Source organism: Homo sapiens, chromosome 8 (genome assembly GCF_000001405.40).
Source record: "Homo sapiens chromosome 8, GRCh38.p14 Primary Assembly".
In the NCBI taxonomy this organism is placed as follows: domain Eukaryota; kingdom Metazoa; phylum Chordata; class Mammalia; order Primates; family Hominidae; genus Homo; species Homo sapiens.
Window position 1 is genome coordinate 99,763,628 of NC_000008.11, and position 21,733 is coordinate 99,785,360.

Here is a 21,733-nt window from a genome sequence, read left to right on the forward strand (position 1 = left end):
ATTGATGTGAAGGATTTAGACCTGAGACAGTGAGAAAGTAGGGGGTATAGAGGTATTTCAGGCTGAGAGAGAATATAGGAGCAATAACCCAGAGAAAAGAAGTTAGAGAAAATTATGTCATGGAAAGCAAGAAAAGAGAGAATTTCAAGAAATGGTGGCTAAAAGTTTAATGCCATGGATATGTCACTTATCACTAACCAGAATATGTGCTACTATTTCATCACATTTACCCTCTTCCGCATATCCATTCTCCCCTCGTCCTTACAGCATCTCATCATATATGGATGCTCAAGTCACTGTTTAAAGAAAAGAAACTTAATTATAGGTGGAGGTAACGTTTATTTCAACATTTAGTCCTGTTGAAAGATTGAGAATTACTTATTTAGGAAAGAAAGGTTAGGGAGCAATCTGTTCATTAAAGAAGCTTTTTTGAGATCCCATTTTGTCCTCAAAACTGTGTTAGGTGCTAGTAATATTTTTTTAAATAATGTGCCATTTCTGCCCTCAAGGATCTTAGAGTCAACTAAAGGAGACAAACATATAAATAAGTAATTACAAAATATAGTGAGTCCTGTGTTAGAGTAGTGTACTAGGTATAGACATGACACAAGAGAGGCAGTGATCAGTTCTGAGGATGGTAATTAGGGAATGCTTCCAAAAAGGGAAACACATCTGAGCCACTCTTTTATTTTTTAAGACACATAGGATTAACCCACATGTTCTCATCCTAAACAAAATAATATTTCCTAGATGTCTTTTTGTGTTAATATAGAGAGAGATTCTTTTTTTTTTTTTTTTTTTTTTGAGATGGAGTCTCCCTCTGTTGCCCAGGCTGGAGTGCAGTGGCGCGATCTTGGCTCATGGCAACCTCCACCTCCTGGGTTTAAGCAATTCTCCTGTCTCAGCCTCCTGAATAGCTGGGACTACAGGCACCTGCCACCACGCTTGGCTAATTTTTGTGTTTTTAGTAGATACGGGGTTTCTCACCTTGTTGATCAGGCTGGTCTTGAACTCCTGACCTCAGGTGATCCACCCCCTTGGCCTCCCAAAGTGCTGGGATTTCAGACGTGAGCCACCACACCTGGCATAGAGATATACTTTATTCATTTTAACAGTTGTGTAGAAATACATCCTATAGATCTGCATGTTACATGTAACCAATCCTCTATTGATGATATTCGACTTGTTTCAACTTTTCTTATTAATAAACACAGTACTGAAGTACATACACACACATATGTATATACATATATATGTGTGCACACACACTTGTGCTTTGGAATCTCTGTAAAACAAATTCTTAGAAGCATACTTCCTAGGGGAAAAAAAAAGTTTTGGCTAGGCGCGGTGGCTCATGCTTGTAATCCCAGCAGTTTGGGAGGCTGAAGCAGGTGGATCACCTGAGGTCAGGAGTTCGAGACCAGCCTGGCCAACATGGCGAAACCCCTTCTCTACTAAAAATACAAAAATTAGCTGGGCGTGATGGTGCATGCCTGTAATCCCAGCTACTCGGGAAGCTGAGGTGGGAGAATTGCTTGAACCCAGGGGCCAAGGTTGCAGTGAGCTGAGATCGTACCACTTCACTCCAGCCTGGGTGAAAAAGCAAAACTCTGTCTATAAAAGAAAAGTTGTTTTTTTCTCATGCTTGTACAGTACTCAGACCGATCAGTCTTCTTAAACTGAAAGGTTAGTAAATAAAATATTACATTATTGCTTTAATTTGAATCTCTTTGAGTATTGGTGAAGTTGAGTATCTTTTTATCTTTTTGTGTTTACTGGCTGGTTATATTTTTTCTTCTGTGATCTAACTGCTGTCAGGATCTGGGATTTTACCCAGTGCAAGCTAGTAAGTTATCTTGTTAGTGTTTCATGGGTGCTGGCAGAAGGAATAAGACTCCTGGTCAGAAGCAAAGAAGTCTATTGCTTGTGGCATGGCAAGCAGCATGAGCATCATGTTTTCATTGGTTCCCCTTGTTCCCAAGTCCCACAAGCGTGATGCAGAAGTGCCCCCAGGGGGATGCTCTGCTTGCAGTAGACATTTGGCACAGTTGAGGAACTTGTAAAATCTACCTTTTCTCTGTGATTATGTATCATTTTCTCATTGATTTGTAAGAGCTCTCTCCTATCAGAATGAATATTCCTTCACCTGTCATCAAATGTTACCTGTCTTATTCCAGTTTACTTTTTAAAATTTGATTTTATCATGGGTTTCATGCCATACATACAAAAGTCTACCCTATTATAACATTTTAAAAATATTAACATGTTTCTTCTCTTACACTTTCACTTCTTAGCCTTCAGCAGTTTTATCCTTTTGGAGTTTACTTTTGTGTAAAGAATGATGTAGGGACCCACTTTGGTTTTACCAAGTGACTAGTTAGTTCTTGCAGCTTCATTTTCCGTCTTTCTCCTACTTATTTGGTGTGGCACCTTCATTACTTTTTTTTTTTTTTTTTTTTTTTTTTTGAGGCAGATTCTTGCTCTGTCGCCCAGGCTGGAGTGCAGTCACTGGTGTGACCGCTGCTCACTGCAATCTCTGCCTCCTGGGTTCAAGTAGTTCCCCTGCCTCAGCCTCCCGAGTAGCTGGGATTACAGGTGCACGCCACCACACCTGGCTAACTAATTTTTGTATTTTTAGTGGAGATGGGGTTTCACCACGTTGGCCAGGCTGGTCTCAAACTCCTGACCTCAGGTGATCTGCCCGCCTCGGCCTCCCAAAGTGCCGGGATTACAGGCACAAGCCACCATGCCTGGCTGGCACCTTCATTGCATAGTAAGATTTTGTCTGTACTTAGCCCTTTCTCTGCTATTTTATTCTTTTAATCTATTTGTATGTTACTACACTAGCCTTATCTTTTACTTACTATGGGTTTATAATACATTTAACACCTTGTAGAATTTGTTCTCCATTATTACTTTTAAAATTTTGGCTGTTTTTATATATTATTCTTGAATTGGTCTTTAAAAATAAACAGGATGAATATACAATAATATGAAAAGAAATCCTAAACTACTGTCTTTTATAACCTTATTCTCCTCTAAAGGTCTTAATGTTATAATTTTTATAAAGGTTTAATTTGAATTTCAACAAATATAAAAGCATAGTTTCTATTTGCAACTTCTAAATTTTTTTTATTTTAACATAGGTTCCTTGTAGCTTGGAATACTGGGATGAACTCCAGAAGGTTTTTGTTGCATTTAGAGAATTTAATCTGTCTGAAAGCAAAGTTTGTGAACTGCAGTTGCCGGATATCAATCTCGTGAATGACCAGAAGAAATTAGTATCTTCAGATCTTTGGAGAATTGTCTTGAACAGCAGTCAAAATGGAGCTGATGACCAAAGGTAATTCATTGAAAGATGATATGGTAGCATTACACTGGGAAACAATGATAAGTCATCTTTTCCTATCTAGTGACCCCTCACTTAACTGTATCTCAGCTGTCTAGCAGCTGCATCTCTCTGAACAACAGATGAGAACCACAAAGAAAGACAAAATCTGATGTTTCAAAGTCTGCATACTCAAAATCCTGTGTTTTTACTCATAATACAGCTCTGTGAGCCCTCACTAAGAACCTGTTCCTTAAATATAAAAAGAAAAAAATGGAAAAAAGCAAGTTAAACAAAAAGTCTAGTCATCTTCAACCTCAAAATACAGAGGCATACAGTCATACACACACCTCAATAGAAGCTTAATGACATCATAATCAATATGTGTAATGATTATCCTGGGGCATTAAAAGAAATGTTAAAAAAAAATTGAATTGTCTCCTTCTAAAAGGTAAATTTTAGGAATATTTTCATCTTAATTGTTTTTTTAAAACTTTAAAAGACAAGCCTCCCCTAGGTGACAAAGTGCAACTCTCTCAAAAAAAAAAAAAAAAAAAAAAAAAGGCGACAGTCCTCCAGACACTAAGAAACTTGTGTAGCTAACCAAAATAACTCATACCCAATGGATTTTATACAGATAAAGTTTTATCCACCTATAAAGCCTCACTGGCCATAAAGAATCCCTAGAGCTGGCCGGGCACAGTGGCTCGCAGTTGTAATCCCAGCACTTTGGAAGGCTAAGGCGGGTAGACTGCTTGAGCCCATGAGTTTGAGATCAGCCTGGGCAATGTGGTGAAACCCCATCTCTATAAAAAATACAAAACTAGCTGAGCATGGTGGCACACACCTGTAGTTCCAGCTACTTGGGAAGCTGTTGGGGAGAGGATCCCTTGAGCCCCGGAGGGTGAGGTTGCAGTGAGCCGTGATCTCACCACTGCACTCCAGCCTGGGTGACAAAGCAAGACCCTGTCACACACACCAAAAAAAATCTCTAGACCAGATTATCCTCATTTCAGTTTTTGCCTACTTAACACATCCACTAATTTACAGTAGAGAAAAATAGCTTCAGCAATCTATTCTTCAGCACTTCTAGCTTACACACATTTGCTAAGTCCCTTTGCTCATGCCCCCATAAAAGACGATAAACAAAGTAAACCACAACCAGTGGAACAGCTTTCTTGGGTCATATACTATCATGTGTACTGTGAGGCTATGCTGTTCATTGCTGTGGATGCCCTACGTGCCACTTCTCCTGATGGGCTGGCTTAGTGTTGTTATCTTATTCCTTTTATGTAATACCTTCTTCTTTCCCTGGAAACAACATTCTGACAGTAACAGAAAAAAAACCATCCACCATTCCAATACCTTGCAAATCAAATGTTTTTTCTTTTCTCTGTTACCGTTCTTTTTGCCCATATGTGTACACGCTTTTACAAGGTTATAATCATAGCACACCACTTTGTATTCCAGTTCCTACTTTTTATTATAAATTATTGTGAATACTTTTTCTTTGGAAATATTTATTTTTATTAACATATGTTCATTGAAGAACATTTGGAAAATAAAACAATACTGCCCATAATTACAAGGAGATAACTTCTGTTAACATTTTGGTTTGTAGCCTCATAGTCTTTTTCATTGATTATTTTGTATGCTTGATAATAATGTGTTTTGTGTTTTATATTTCATATATTCTATTTCTAGGTCATTTGGGCTCTTTAAAAATATTTACTTTCCTAACAGTTTAGCTAGTATTGTAGAATTAGTGAAAATATATTAGAGAAGTAGTGTTTTAATTTTACCTGCATATAGTTCAGCAATAAAAAGAACACCCATCCTGTGATGAATTATTTCATGGATGGAAAGATTGCTTTTTCTAAGTTCAGGTTATCTCATCAGAAACCAGGAAATCTCAGAAAATAGAGCTATGGATAACTAAATTGATTTTTTTAAATCTGAGTTTCATTAATAGTATCAAGTTAGAAATGACTTCTTGATTCTAATTATGAAGTAATACATTTTCACCATCGAAAGAAGCATTGTAGAGAAAGCTAATGCCTCTGAATCTGAAACATTTATAAAAATTACTTTTGTGGTAAGCTTAGCAGTATAGAAATGTGGAGCCTTTAGGAAACAGAAATTTAAGCAGATAATCAAATTCAGGCAGTTTTTCACCAAGCATCTGACATTGTAGTCACAGATCTTTGTCCTCACCAGGGATTTTTCACCTTACCTAATATTTCACAATTTATCTCACTTTAAATTGTTTGAGACTAATCATTTTTCAGATAGAAGTTGATATTAATGAAATTAAATTAGAAGAGCTGGTTTAAAAGTCAACAAAATAAAACACTATTAAGGATTATATTTGTTTCATCCAATTTCTAGAAAGAAAACAGTAATGATTTGATAATATGTCAATATTTCATGCAGACAGAAAGCTTTTACAGTTAGCCTCAGTATATTCTGTCACAAGAGAAATCTAAATCTGGACAAAAACCTGGTACTTTTATGATTAGAGATTGTCTTATAAAGGATAGTCTCAGTGGTTTGAGAAGGATTTACATCAGACTATTGGACATTACTGGAAGAAAGGTCACAAAAATATATCCCATGAAGCCTAATTTAAAAAGAAGAGCCTCTTGCCTATAATTGAGATGAAGTTTTAATGTTCCTGTGGTAATGGCATCACCGTAAATATGTAAATAGAGATAGCATTTAATAGATGTAGAAGACCTCTATTCCACCTTTCAAGGTGAAGACCTAGGTTTAAGGCCTGGCTCCATCAACAATATGCTATTTGGTGTTGTGAGATTGATTTCTAAACTGAGACTTTAAGGAATGAATAGGCACTAACCAGTTCAATGGATGACAGGGAGCCCCCAGTGCAAATGACCAAAGACAAAATAGAGTCAATAATTGGGTGGGTTCAGTGGCTAACATCTATAATCCCTGCACTTTGGGAGGCTGAGGTGGGAAGATGGCTTGAGCTCAGGAGTTCAAGACCAGACTGGGCAATAGTGAGACTTTTGTCTCCACACAAAAATTTAAAAATTAGCCAAGCAAAACGGTGCATGCCTGTAGTCCCAGCTGATCAGGAGGCTAAGGTGGGAGGACTGCTTGAGCCCAGGAGGCAGAGGCTGCAGTGAGCCAAGATCACACCACTGCACTCCAGCCTGGGTGACAGAGCGAGACCCTGTCTCAAAAAATAAAAAATGAGTCATTAGTTAGGTTCCTATATCTTTAACTAATGGTTTGCTTGATCATATTATGGTTTTTGGGAGGGAGCATTTGAAGTAAATGTTGACCTTTATAGTACTGACCTTTGAAAGCCTTCCCCTTCTATTTGCTGTGCACTGGACTAGAGGCAAGGGATGCACCCTCTGGAGCCCTGGTCATGCTATCCATTTCAGCTGTTTATCTTACTCCCATCGTGTATGTATTTGTCCACACCCATTGCCTGTTTCCAAAGCCTAAGTAAACCTCTTATCAGTCAGGTTCTGACAGGAAACAGATGGCAACTCAGACTGGGTGACTGGGGAAAGTTTAATGAACTGCAAAAGTATGGGCTAGGAACCCTGGGAAACTGTCCCAATCTTAGGCCAAAAGAAGCCAGGTGATAGAGCCATTATCAAAACTCTAACTCAGCGAGGATGTTTGTAGCTACGTTTGGTAGAGGAACACAGCTAATGTACAGAGATCTGGCTGCAAAGGAACCGGGAAAATACATACCCTTACCTCATTCCTCTTCTGCCTTCTAAGTCACCTTGTGGGTACCTCCCACTGACTGAATCCGAGGACAAGCCAGAGGACAAAGTAGCTTGTTGGTGCAGTCCAGAAAGCTCCCTTCCGGAGGCAAAGAAGAAGGTGGGGAATGGTAGAAGGTGGGTCAAGAGAGCAAACAGAAGACATCCAGCAAGTGCACACTCTTATTTGCAATTGGCAGCTTCTTACCAGGTGACTAACCCTGCGAGGAACAAAAGGGAAAAGGAATCATGAGCCCTACTCTCTTGGGCCAGCCTGGCAGGTTCCCTGGGTTTGAAATCAATCAGGTGTCTTCTGATGGATCAGAACAATTTTTACTTTATTTATTCCCTCTTACCTTCACCCCTAGAGAGCTAATTCCAGAAATACTTATTTTGGCTGTGGAAAGTCACACAAATTACAGACATTTATTATATAACACAATAGTAACTGTGCAGATCTCAATATGTATGTCTGGTTAATTCTGTATAAGTTGTTTGATGATAATGTTAAACTCTTGATCTGTGCCAAGACTTTGGTACTTTCCTGTCCATATTTCATGGTCATCTTCTCACAATATTAAAGCATGTGAGAGCAGATTGCTTGTAAGGACTTTTTATCTCTACCCACAAAATGCTGACTCATGACAGAAGGCATCTTGGAAAGAGAAATGGCTTAAGGGTGTATGGCTCTTTCTTCATGTGATAAAAATTAAACCTCTGGCGAGTTGTATAAAGTGCTTTTTAATATATCTATATATTTTTTCTTCCTACTCCCTTAAGGTCTCATAAAAGAAATCACTGTCCACTCATATTTGGGAATCTTTGAGACAGTGATCCACAGCCTGTGTATATATGAGTGTGTGAATGTGAAGAAGAACTCCTTTTCATTTCCCAAAACCTTTATTCTTGTGTATATAGACAGTGGAGGAATCAGAGAAAGCGTGATGATGAATAAGTCCCTGAATCATTTCTTTTCTCTCTGCTGGTTGAACTCTCTCCTCCCAAAAAGTGACTGTGGCCTTCCAGATATTGTTTCTCTCCATTTGGCTACTTGGGTCTGCCCTTTTAGATGTATCTAGATTTTTGGGTAATTCATTTAGTGTTATAAGCCATTTATACATAAATCTTGACATTTGGAACTGCTTTGTCACCTGTGTTTCTAGTTACACACTGGTATAATCCAGGATTTATCCAGAAAATTCTTTCCTTTACCCTTCCCTAAGGCTAAAGCTGAGTTTTTGTCTTCTCTTCCTTGAATGGAAGGAATACTTACATTTTTTCCCCAGGTTTGCTTTTGAGGCCCTTTGCTATTTTCTTTTAGGTGGTGATTGAACTCTGTATACGAAGTCCTCCAGGGAGTTGGCCTTTGCCATGCAGTCCTTCTTGCATACACAGTCCCTGAAGTACTCAGGTGCTGCTCAGGTCTCAGAGTTCTTGGATGATGGTACTTATGAGCTCTCTATGTCGTATTGCCTACTCTATGAACCTTGGGAGATTACTCTTCCTTTTTTTTTTTTTTTAAGTTAGATTTAAAGGAGTGTTTTACCTGAAGGCTCATTTAAGGTTATTTTTCAAACTACAAACTGGAGCACATTCATGGGTTATGAAATAGCTGGTTACAACTGGAATTTTTTTAATAACATAAAATAAAATAGAAAATAGTTTGAAAAAGACAAATATTATATGATTCTACTTACATGAGATCCCAAGAGTAGTCAAATTCATAAAGAGCATAGTGGTGGCTGTCAGGGGCTGTGGGGAGGGGAGAGTAGGGAGTGAGGGTTTAATGGACATGGAGTTTCAGCTTGGGAAAATCAAAAAGTTCTAGAGATGGATGGTGGTGATGGTTGCACAACAATGTGAATGTACTTAATGTCACTGAACTGTACACTTTAAAATGGTTAAAATGATAAATTTTATGCTATATAAGTTAATATATTATCACAATAGAAAATAGTATGCATCATATTTTCAGAAAACCTTTTCCCCTGTTTTATATGTGTATACTGGATTACAATAAAAGTGTGCTTGTTATTTGGAGTTAGGGTTAAGACATTTGGAAAACAACCATTGTAAGGAGTGGAAGAAATGCAGTGCAACAGGCACACACTCCTGCATCCTCTCTCACCTCTCTCCTGCGTCCTCTCTCAGCCATTCAGCACTCTCACGGGATGGACAGAGCAGTGTTCATGCAGTGGGTAGGGGAGAATTTATGTGAACCAACGTTGAGAGACAGTGCCCCATTGAGATGAATGCCAGTATGCTGTTGTGAGATCCCTCTTAGGAAGCTAAAGATAATCAATTAACATTAACCTATGTAGCCAGTATGGTACCTTGTCTTGCCCGCAAGAAAAAGAGGAATGGATTTTTTTCATCATTTGTTTTTAATCAAGTGGTGGACATCATGCTAAGTAGTTTATATGCAGTAGCTCATGTAATACTTGAAAAAGGTAGGTCTAATTACTGTACTCATTTTATAAATGAAAAATACAGAGACTTAGCCAGGTGAAATAACTTGCATAATACTATAGTATAAATGATAGCAGCGCATACATTATTCTAGGTTCTCCTACCTTGGTCATTCTCTGCTTAATCTCACAATCATGGCGGAAGGCAAGGAGGAGCAAGTCATGTCTTAATCTCTATGCTATATTATCCTATATTATAAAATCTTTATTACCATAAAGGGATCCATAGAGAAGTGACATTCAGAGCTGGATCTTTAGGGATTGTGCCTAGGTCCCCACAGTGCCATTAAGATAGGATCAGTCTACATCTAGATGTACTGAACACTCCTTGTTTAAAGAATTGATCCCCTCTGTAGGTCACTCAGGACAGTTGGTAAGTAACTCTTTGGCTAAAATGAAGGTATAAATAAAACACCTGCCATCCTTCTCACTGTCTAGGATATTTCCACTATCCTAAAAACAACACTTAAATAACCCTCTGAACTTAAAGCTACTTGAATAAATTACTGAATCGTGAATTGTGTTTATTACTATTTGAGAGGTCTTGCTTCCAGGAACTATTTTCCAGTTAAAAGTGAAGAGCACCAGATAATTCTGTGAACACTGTCATTGGCCATGAATTTGACCTGTTTTGAAAGTCTTCTGGGAAAAGGGGAAATATTGAAATATAAATATTATAAGTTGTGATATTTTTTACTTTTCTTTTTCTGCTTATTATACATCTGATGTTTGACCTTTTAAGATGTGAATCAGATTAAAATCCACTGTTGTACTTAATTAGGGAAATTATACAAATGTAGCTACTGCAAGTCTCTAGCAGGGTCATCACTCATATTTATGACTATTTAGTCCTATTGTACTTAGATCATTTTAATCCTTAGGTAAAAGGTAAACACATACATGCTACTTTTATAGTATATAATGGTGATTTAAGTTAAGAATATCAAAAACTATAAATGTGCTAATGTAAAATAAAGTTGTATTCAAATTACATATACTATATTTTGTGTTTAAGAAGTGTGTGATTTTGTTGACTCCGATTTTTAAATAAAAGTTTTAATTTTTGCATATAAATTAACCTAGTAACCATTTTAGTCGGGATTTCAAGATTGAAGGAGTATTGCTGACTAGAGTAGTGCTACTAGCACTAATGCTTACTGGAGTATGATTTTATGATTCAGGAGCTACTGTATATACCTAAAAATATGTCTAACCATTGCTTTGTGCATTCAATTTAGGAAAAGTGAAGAATCAATCAATTTGTTATAAGTAAAGATTGTATTAGATACTCATGATGTTTTAGCAACCTTTTGTAATATGTTATAATATTTGCCACTCTCAGGAGATAGAAAAATAAATCTTGGAAAATATCAGAGTGTCAAAAACTATAATTGGTCAGAAAAATGCTCAAACTGTGTACCCATTTTAAAAAACTGGTCCCATAGAACTCTTGCCTGGATTTTTAATAATATTTTGACTAACATTGTGCCCTATTTCTAAAAACTTACATGAGTAGTATAAGGGAAAGAGTTCAAATGTGTAAAACACATGTACAACTAATATATTTTCCTCTTTCTGAATAAATACAAGTTTTAATTTTATCTTGCCAATGAAATCTTTTGTTAACTCTACAAATTCCTAGAAAGTTACTTGGATTACTGTGCCCATTATAGATGTTTTAAGAATATACTTAGCTGCATTTTTGTGCATAGTCAATAACCTAGTGCTCCAGAGTCTGTTTTCTTTGTCTGCAATGGAGATTTACTAGCATTGCAGTAAATGCTTACACCACATAACTGAAAACCCTTTGAGGTTAAACAACTCAGTAAACATGCTGGAATGCTCCTAGCTTTCATTTTCACCAGCCTGTTTCACAACCTCTTTCAAAACCCAATGGAAGATTCACACCTCTGAAAATCCCACATGATTCACCCATGCCATTAAGTTCCTCTTGTGTTTCCACCCTGGCAGCACTTCCCACTTTCCTATTCCTGGGGGGTCGTTCTGTTTGGTAATTTTTGTAAATGTCTACGTATTGAGTATCACCAGTTAGACTGTGAGTTCTTTGAAAATCAAGGATTTGTTTCTTTAGTGCTTCCTGTCATAGTTCTCCCTAGGATACTGTAAATGACATTGCTTGTCCTTAGGCTCCTCATGGATTTGGGAGCCAGGCTGTGATAGCTACAGAGCATATTTCAGGATGAAAAGAAGAGAGTGGAAGACAGTGAGCTGTGGGGAAAGGGCAACATTGATTCGGTGATCCACAATTAACAGGACACACCTTGTTCTCCTCCAACAATCCCAAATTCCCAGGTCTCGTGCTCCTGTTAGCATTAATGCAATCTAGGCAGCATGCTTCCCGTGCACAGCAGCAGCCACCATGTGCAGACATCTTCCCTTCTATGGATGCCATCACTATTCACTTTAATCAGATTTAACTCATACAGGCTGGGATTGGTGGCTCATGCCTGTAACCCCAGCACTTTGGGAGGCCAAGGCGGGTGGATCACTTGGGGTCAGGAGTTCAAGACCAGCCTGATCAACATGTTGAAACCCCATCTCTACTAAAAATACAAAAATTAGCTGGGCATGGTGGCTGGCGCCTGTAATCCCAGCTACTTGGGAGGCTGAGGCAGGAGAATCACTTGAACCTGGGAGGCAGAGATTGCATTGAGCCAAGGTTGTGCCACGCTGCTCCAGCCTGGCCTGGACAACAAAAGTAGACTCCATCTCAAAAAAAAAAGAAAAGATTTAACTTGTATAAAATAGTGTTAAGAGGATGGGCAAGTGAAGAGAGGACCCATGCATTGTAATTGTCCATGGGACCCTCATTCTTCTGGATATGGTCATAACTTTTATGGCACCCGTTACAGTAGTGAGTGAGTGCTTAATAAAGAATATTGACTGACTCCTATGGAAATATGGGTATGGACAATCTGGAGAAGTAAAACAAGGGTGAAATATTTATGGTGACACTGAAGTATTGGGTTTTTGAGTGGCAGAGTCATACTCTGAACTGCATTGATCTTAAACTAATAACAGAACAAATGGCCCGTAAGTTTTGTGAGATGTGGATGGAAGCACATTGATTTGGAGATCAGTATGATCATAGATCAGTATGAGTTGGCATTTGAGGAATCCTTTAAAAGTTTTCTGTGAACAATTCATAGAGAATAATCAACATGATTCCAGGCTGGAATGCAGTGCACGACAGCCTTGACCTGCTGTGCTTAAGCAATTCTCCCACCTCAACCACCAAGTAGCTGAGACTGCAGGTGCATGCCACCACATCCAGCTAATTTTCTGGATGAGGTGAGGTCTCACTATGTTACCCAGGCTGGTCTCGAACTCCTGAGCTGAAGTGATCCTGCTGCCTCAGCCTCCCAAAGTACTAGGATAACAAGCATGAGCCACTGCACCTGGCCAAACACGAGCTTAATTTTAAAAAATAGCTAATTTACATAGGAAAATACAGAAGATTTGATAAAATATTGACTATAGGATTTTCAGTACTAGTTTTAGAAACCCTTATAAAAAGACGTTTCACTCATATAATATTGGGAAATTTTGGTTATTGAACTTCTTTTATCACTTCTTTCCCATAGCTCTGCAAGTGAGTCTGGTTCTCAAAGCACTTGTGATCCACTTGTGACTCCAACAGCCCTGGCTGCCTGTACCAGAGTTGACTCCTGCTTTACCCCATGGTTTGTCCCATCCCTTTGCGTTTCTTTCCAGTTTGCTCACCTGGAATTCCATCTTTGTCATCACCTTGACCAACTAGGCACAGGTACTCTTTTTTTTAGCATCAGAATAACATCCATTTAATACTTACCATTTTCTCTTGAGTGTTTTCAAAAGAGAAGTCAACAATCTTAGATAATGTATTTTCAGGAAGTATAAAGCGAGCAGTGGCAAAGTTATCCTGGGGTTGACTTGGCAAAACAGGCATAACCTTTACTTCTGAACCAGCTTATGAACCCATTATATAAGTTGTCAATGGTATTGAGCTGACATGTTTTTGAATGCTACCTAATGAGAATTTTTCAAGGAAGTTAGTTTTACTGTAATTCTAATTATGATCTTGTATTAGTTCATTTTTCACGCTGCTGATAAAGACATACCCAAGACTGGGAAGAAAAAGAGATTTAATGGACTTACAGTTCCACATGGCTGGGGAGACCTCACAATCATGGTGGAAGGCAAGGAGGAGCAGGTCACGTCTTACATGGAAGGCAACAGGCTAAGAGAGCTTGTGCAGGGAAACTCGTTTTTTTATAACCATCAGATCTCGTGAGACTTATTCACTATCACGAGAACAGTACAGGAAAGACCTGCCCCACTGATTCGATTATCTCCCACAACACGTGGGAATTCAAGATGAGATTTGGGTGGGGACACAACCAAACCATATCAGATCCCTTTGAAAGAAATATGTCTGTTCTTGTTCAGTATCCTGAGTCATTACATTAGTAGCAAATAGATTCCAAAAATACTTGGTATTGCCTGATTTCAAAATCATGAATACTTTCCACAAAAGATAGGCACAGTCTCAAATTAATTTAAAGGGGTATCATTTTTACAAGTTTGGAAGGAAGTTTAAATTTTCCCACACACCAAAAGTGGCCTTTTATAAGCTTACTAATGTTATTTGAACAATTATTTCTCAATATGCTCTGTACCAAACCTTTTCTAGGTGATACATTTTGACTCATATATTAGGTTTTTGACCTACATGTAATGAAGGGAAGAGGAGAAAATCAGATTAAAACCAAACACAGCTGGCTGGGCACAGTGACTCACACCTGTAATCCCAACACTTTGGGAGGCCGAGGCGGGTGGATCACCATGTCAGGAGATTGAGACCATCCTGGCTAACACGGTGAAACCCCATCTCTACTAAAAATACAAAAAAATTAGCTGGGCGTGGTGGCAGGTGCCTGTAATCCCAGCTACTCAGAAGGCTAAAGCAGGAGAATCGCTTGAACCCAGGAGGCAGAGGTTGCAGTGAGCCAAGATCACACCACTGCACTCCAGCCTGGGTGACAGAACAAGACTCCATCTCAAAAAAAAAAAAAAAAAATAGCTGTTGTTAAGCATCTTGCCTTTTCAGCAAAAATGGAGTTTAACCTGCTTTCTCTAACTCTCTTTGAGTCATGTTTTTGTTTTGGTTTTGAGATTTGATTGGTAGCTACAGAGCAGTTCTATAAAATTCTCTTTAGATAGATACCTGCTTTTCAGTTTATTTATTGGCTTCTGTGATCAATTTTTTGTGAAAGTTACTTTTGGACAATATATATTTAAGAGGCCTAATTGAACAAAACAGTTTTGTTTTCAAATATCAAATGGGAATCCAAAGATTATAATATCTTCAATAAATAATTTGAATTTATTAAACACCAAAAACTAATTTCAATAATCAAAAAGTGAATAGTTTGAATGTCATTTCACTCTTTATTTTCACAAAATATTGGCTCATCTTAATTGCTGTTTTCCTTGTTTGTTTTCTCAACAGCTGCACCACAGTACCTACAGCCATTTGTTTCCGACAGAAATATGCCATCTGAACTAGAATACATGATTGTTTCCTTCAGAGAACCACACATGTATCTTCGACAGTGGAATAATGGTTCTGTCTGTCAGGAGATCCAGTTCTTAGCTCAAGCAGACTGTAAACTTCTAGAGTGCAGAAATGTCACTATGCAAAGTGTGGTGAAACCCTTCAGCATCTTCGGGCAGATGGCAGTTTCCAGCGATGTAGTGGAAAAGCTGCTTGACTGCACCGTGATAGTTGATTCTGTATTTGTAAACCTTGGACAGCATGTAGTCCATTCACTAAACACTGCAATACAAGCTTGGCAACAGGTATGCACATTCCATAACAGTTTACAGTTTGGCCACATATGATCTTTTATTAGGTTCTGTATGCTATCACTTCTGATAATAAGTTCAACACAAACAAAAATGTTAGAGAATGAAGAATTTGATGGGCACCATTATACTTGAGGCCTTCTCTGTTTTGGCAAAGTGATGCATGTTATTTTTGAAAAACTGGAGAATATAGGTTCTCTACACATGCATTGGAGATCATGCCCACATTTTTGTGACTAATGCACCACATCTGTGTGGAAAGTAACATATTCCCAGAAATTTTTTCCAAGTATTGTGGCTTTAGTTTGCCAAAGCTTCAACTTAGCTATGTATCAAATTGTCTAACGGTCCATTGCAGAAATAAAGAACCTGTGTGACCCTTTCTAATGATAAGCATTCGATCTTTTCAAACAAACAAACAAAAAAAGCAGCGAGATGAAATATGTGAGTACAATACAGTCTTAGTTTTTTCCTCTACTCTTTCTGACTTTTTGATTCACTAAAAAGTACTAGATAATGGATTTTTAAATCAATTAGAGAGCCTTGATTATTTTAATAATTTTTTAACTTTTATTTCTTATCAGAAATAAACCAAACCAAAAAAAGGGATGAAGCGTAAGTCTATGATAAGTGGCATATTTAAAATGGGAAACCTGTCCATGTCTGCTAGCACAAAAGTAACTTCACAGAATATTTGGATGATAATATGTTCAATGATTTAAGAACAAATCACTTCTGCTTCCCTTACTGATTTTAGTGTTATATTGTATTTCCATCAAGTTTGTGTTGCTATTTAAGCTGAAACATTTCCCCACATTTTGTATATATTACATTTGTGTGAGGCTGGCTACCCGAGAGAAACGGTGCTTCATCCCCCACTGACCTCCTTTTGGGATGGAGCAGTTAAGGGGAAGAGGAGCTTTTGTTCTCTAACTTAAGAATTTGTATGAGAATAAATATTTTTCTTTATATGCATGAAGACCTATACAAGACCAAGGAATTAATTACCTAACATGGCACTATAATAGCAAAGGGAAAGAAGATAACACATCTGTTTTATGTTTTAAAAATATTTTTTAAGGGCATTCCATGGTTTTCTTGTTGCAAAGGACATGCGTAAAATAAGAGCTAGTGTGATCTAAATCTTTGCAGCTGGTTCAAATAGCCATGTGAAAAAAAAGACCTCTATGGCTCCAATTTCTGTTTTTTGGTTGTATTTTGAACAATACATTTAATAAAAAACAAACCTAGAAAATATAAAAGAATCATTGATAGAACATTTAAACCCAGGATATTTTTGTCTTGGTATCAGAACCATTATAAGGGGACTCATGTGTAGCAACTACTGCAAAATGGCCTTCAGAAATACCAGTTTCCTCCCAGGGTAAAAATACTCTCTTAGACACAGCTATACATATAAATAAAATATGGTGCATAAATATTTAAATGTTTTAAACCACATCAGAGTGTGAATGACTGACTGGCTAACATAGTGCCTTGAAGGAATATTCTGAGTTTTTTTAATGGAATTGTATATTTGATTAAGTAGAGCCATATGTCACGTAGCATATTGCTGACAGGTACATTCTATGAATAGTTGGTTCTGATTTATACAGGGATTTGGCAACGTTAACATGAGCCACAAGAGGATATACTTCTGTAATTGTTGCTGTAATTTTCTTGTTTCCTCTCATGTCAAGGGTACTTGCCACCAAGTTTTAATGTGGTAGGCACCTAACCCTGTGTATTCTAAAGTAAATATGAAAGTGCACTACTTTGAAATTATAGGACATTTGACATTGAAATGGGCTTACAAAGGGTTATTGAGTTCATTGTTTCTAAGATGTTCTGAATGTGGTTTATCCCCTTTAGAAGCGGAAGTTTAGTTTCCCAAACTTGGATTTTATTGTGTGTATACTGCTCACATATAGTGTAATTGCTGCCAGTGAAAAATATGAATTTAATAAGCAAGCAAAGTGATTTTAGTTCTCCACATACCTTTTATCGGATTCATATTGGAGACAAGTCATTTTTCCCCAGTGTGGATGGACCAGACAGTTGAAGCATGAAACAATTTGGCCTTCCACCTTTAGGTCATAAGTTCAAGATTAACAGAAGCCTTCATCAGTGTCTGATTTCTCTGGCTATAGATTTTCTTTTCCCTTTTATAAATGATGACTGTTTTGTGAAAACAGATTAAGGATCCAAAATGCCATTTGCAATTTGTTTTATATTTCTATGTCACTTTCCCAGATTTGGACAAAAAGTATTAAAAGGGTTTTTTTCTTAAATTAAGGTTACACTTATGTGTCTTCTCTTACACCAAAATGGTGTATCTGTTTAACTGCAAATGCTTGTATGACACTCCATGAAACTTAAATGTGGATAAGCCATCTTTTAATTATGATTCCAAGTGAGCATTCTGAGGCTCAACATCTATGATGTGACGTCAAATACATGTGAACTTTTTAATATTACAACAGAATTTAAAACATTCCAAGAAATGCTTAAACTTATTACAGTTATAATGAACTCCACAGATGAAGCAGCAGTAGAGAAATAGTTCCCTGAGGACTTTGAATATTCTTTAGAAAAATGTAAACAACCCCCTTGTGTTCTTTAATTTACATTTTTTCCTAAAACCCTCATCATTTATTAAAGGTCAGTTTTTAGAGATGAAGAAAGTAATATGATGTTTTTTTTCTGCTCAAGCCCCATCTGGTAACTTAACCTCTGTGTTACCAGCAGATTGATCCCAATTCATTATGAAAACTGAATTTTAATCTCAGGATGTGTAACTAAGTGGGAGATTGGAATCATATCCCTTTCTTCATGTCTGTACTCGCACTGAAAGGAAAGAAAAATGTTTACAAGTAGAGCAGTTCATGTTGATTATATAATGCTCAATGGAAAAATCTCATCAAAACTAATTACATACTATGATTCCAGTTTGATTGAAGGTTTGTAGATAAATATATAAAAAAGGATTGGATAGGACAGACTAGAATAGTAACAGGCAGGACATTCAGAAGGGAAAAACTATTTGAAGAAAATTCACCAAAATGTTAATAGTAGTTATTGCTGAGTTTAAAATTAAAGATTTTTAAAAATCCATACTTCCTGTATTTCCTAATTTTTCCCTCCCCTTCTTCTCCCCTGTATTTTCTAACTTTGTACAGTGAATATATAATTATAATTTTACAAATTAAATCTACCAAAGTTTTCGTTTGTTTATTTCCTAAGTATTTATCGGCTAGGCATTATGCTGGATACTGAAGATAAAACTGTAAAGAATAAAAACTGTAAAGACGTGGTTGCTGCCCTTCTGCAGCATACAGTCTAATTATGGAGACAATATTGAACCCATAATGGTACAAATTAACAAGTGCTCTGAAGGTGAAATATAGAATCTTATGTAAGCGTAAAATAGGAGAACCTACCTTGACCTTGGGAGGATCTCAGAAGGCTGCTCTTAAAACCAACCTTAAAACAGGAATCTGGAAGTTGAGTAGAAACAAGTTGGTCAAGCAAGAAATGGAGAAAAAGATGTCCAAGCAGAGGGAAGGCTCTGAGGCAGGAAGTAGTTTGATGTGTTGGATGAGTTGGAAGGAGGTCAGCGTAGTGCTGGAGGAGCTGGAAAAGGCTAGTGGAGCTGGAGTGTCCTGAGCAAATGCCCTCAGCAAATGGAGAGTAGCTCAAGATGCAGTTGGAGGCATGGGCAGGGGCTGGGTAAGATGATTCATCTAAAACTCAACAGCAGTCAAGTTTTGAAATCATTGCTACCAATTAAAATCCATAGTAGAGAGTATTATGGTAGATGACAGATGCTTGTTGTTATGAGTACTTTGGTCTCACTTAGCCAGAAACTCTTTTGGCGATTAGTGTGACTATGAAGCAAGGTTCGGTTCAATGGGAATAGATGGATGATGTGAGAGGGCTTAGAAGTCCTCAAGGGCCTCTGGAAGAATAAGGTATGTCAGGGCCACTTCACCACCTGCAGCATAGAGCCTGCCCACCTACTTCAAGGGCATTCTGGATGATTAGGAGTAGATTCTGTTTCCCAAGATGAGTCTGTACCCTAATGGGTACAAGTCTGGTCATGGCCCAGGCTGGATTCCAAGTACATTCATCTGTAGTCTCCTTGGCTTCATGCCTCCTCCGTACTTGAATCACAATGCTTCTGAGTTGTATCTCTGTTTACTCCCCCACTTCTCAGTAAAGTGGCAAATGATGGAGTGTGACATTTTGACATTATTTAGATCCATAGCCAGGAAATAGAGGCCAACTGGAGAAGCATCAGTTACATGTTATCTCCCATTATCTGCAAATTAATTAGCTACTTATGATGTTTTTCTTATATTCTCAAGTTAATCATTTATTTAGCATTCTTTTAGTTTACCAAAAGTATGTTTATTCTTTTTAAGCCATAGCCTAACCAGAGTGATAAAAGAGTAAGCAAGGAAATACTTTATTACTTTGCCAGTGTTTTAATGTAACAGCAACCAATGGAGGCACCATTAAATGAGAAAGGAGTTATCAACAAAGGAACGTATTATTAATTTGCTGCGCTTTAGCTGACTAATGAAGGATTTTAGCTGACTGATGACTTAGCTGAAACAAATACTGAAAACTGTTTCAACTAACATTATTTCTCAAGAAAACTGCAACTTGGCTTACACTGACTCTGGAGTTGATCTGTTTTGTATGTTCAGCCTCTTAACAATAGAGGGAAAGTTATGGTTTTATTTACATCTCTCACTGAGCAGATTTACACACACACACACATATCCACCCTCCCTCTTAAGGGATCTGGGGATGTTTTACCTAAATGATTCTTACTTTCTGTAGGGTACAAACTGTGGCTTTGGTAATTGGTCTTGATTGTTGAGTTTAGAAGCTGGGAACATGGTAATTCTAGCCTCCAGTACTCTGCTCAAAAACGTGCACTACCCAGTACAGCACTGTTTGTAGCATGTTAATTCACTTTAAGAAATGTTAAAAGTTTGAGGGATCTCATTGTTCTTTTACTCTTCAGCGTGTATGATTTATTTTGAGGGAGTATAAATCAAAACACATTCTTGGAACATTTAAAATCTCTTAAAGGTATTTTTTATGTGTGTGCTTATCCTGGCAGTATAGAATACTTTGTATACCAGAGCTAATGACAACAGATCTTTTAGGGTTTCTGTGTTGTAACAATCGCCACTGGGCAGACAGCTGCCAAACATCTTACAATTAATCCGATCCATGTTGGCTTTCGTATCCTTTTTCTTTCAGAACAAATGCCCTGAGGTAGAGGAGTTGGTCTTCAGCCATTTTGTGATCTGTAATGACACACAGGAGACACTGCGGTTTGGCCAGGTGGATACTGATGAAAATATTCTGCTGGCGAGTCTCCACAGTCACCAGTACAGCTGGCGCTCTCACAAATCCCCACAGGTATTTGAGAAACACCCTTACAAACAGCCATTGTTAAGGTTGGGGATTCATTTCTTCTGCACTTGTGTGCCTGTCCAGTTATTTCCCTTTTTAAGTCTCCGAAGGAACCACACAGCGTAGCTACATCTGACGGAAACCCAAGAGTGTTTAGAGATGGGAGCACACGCTTCTCTTGGAATGGAGCATTTTCCTGTTTAGCACTGGTGCTTGGGGCGGGGGCAGCAGGGTGTGGTGATGAAGAGGCTGACTCGAGAGCCAGGTTTGGATCCTAGCTGTGTGTAACCTTGCTCTACTTTCTGTTCTTCAGTTTTCTCATATGTAAAATGGGATAAAAGTAGTACTTATTTCATAGGGTTATAAGGACTAAGTGAATTCATATGTATAAGGCATTAATACATAAGCATTGTGTTCGGTATTATTATTCATTTGTTTCTTCAGATTTTTTTTCTGTGTGTGTCCTTGGTAGCAGGCACATGCTAGGCACTGGGAATTCAAAGACAGGTAAGTCACAGGCCTTGCCCTCTGAGGACAGCTCACAATCTGTGATACAATGACAGTGAAAAACTATGTCCAAGGGAGCACTGAGAAAAGACACACCAAAGGATGTCTGTTTTCCAAGTAGTGTAATTTCATTTTCCTGTCCCTTTAGATGGGAATAATTAGAGATATGTGTCCTGTAGCGATAATATGAAGATGAATTAAATACAAAGATGTAGTCTTAAGTGAGCAAAAGAAATCCTAGGAAGTACTCTCGAGAATAATGTATTTGTTAAACTCTGGGTAATAAGAAAACTACTGCCTGCTTGTGATTAAAAGAAAGTCATTAGATTAGAGAACAAGTTTTCCCATCTGGTCTCTAGACCAGCATCAGAATACATTATACC

General features: G+C 37.8%; 1 protein-coding gene across 2 annotated transcripts in view, besides 1 other annotated feature; it reads left to right on the forward strand.

Moving 5' to 3' along the window:
* Window positions 1-21,733, forward strand: part of VPS13B (vacuolar protein sorting 13 homolog B) — an 864,307-nt gene that overhangs the window by 750,354 nt on the left and 92,220 nt on the right. For both annotated transcript variants that reach the window (NM_152564.5, NM_017890.5), the window contains exons 40-43: window positions 3,147-3,343; window positions 13,148-13,329; window positions 15,055-15,404; window positions 20,688-20,849. In NM_152564.5, the coding sequence (NP_689777.3) occupies window positions 3,147-3,343; window positions 13,148-13,329; window positions 15,055-15,404; window positions 20,688-20,849 (891 nt within the window). The remainder of the gene's footprint in view (window positions 1-3,146; window positions 3,344-13,147; window positions 13,330-15,054; window positions 15,405-20,687; window positions 20,850-21,733) is intronic.
* Window positions 6,736-7,935: an enhancer, noted in NCBI's record as "MED14-independent group 3 enhancer chr8:100782591-100783790 (GRCh37/hg19 assembly coordinates)". NCBI's record gives its function as "activates an origin of replication core promoter dependent on BRD2, BRD4, P300/CBP and CDK7 cofactors, and independent of MED14, by STARR-seq in HCT116 cells {active_cell/tissue: HCT116}" and the evidence as "EXISTENCE:reporter gene assay evidence [ECO:0000049][PMID:35650434]".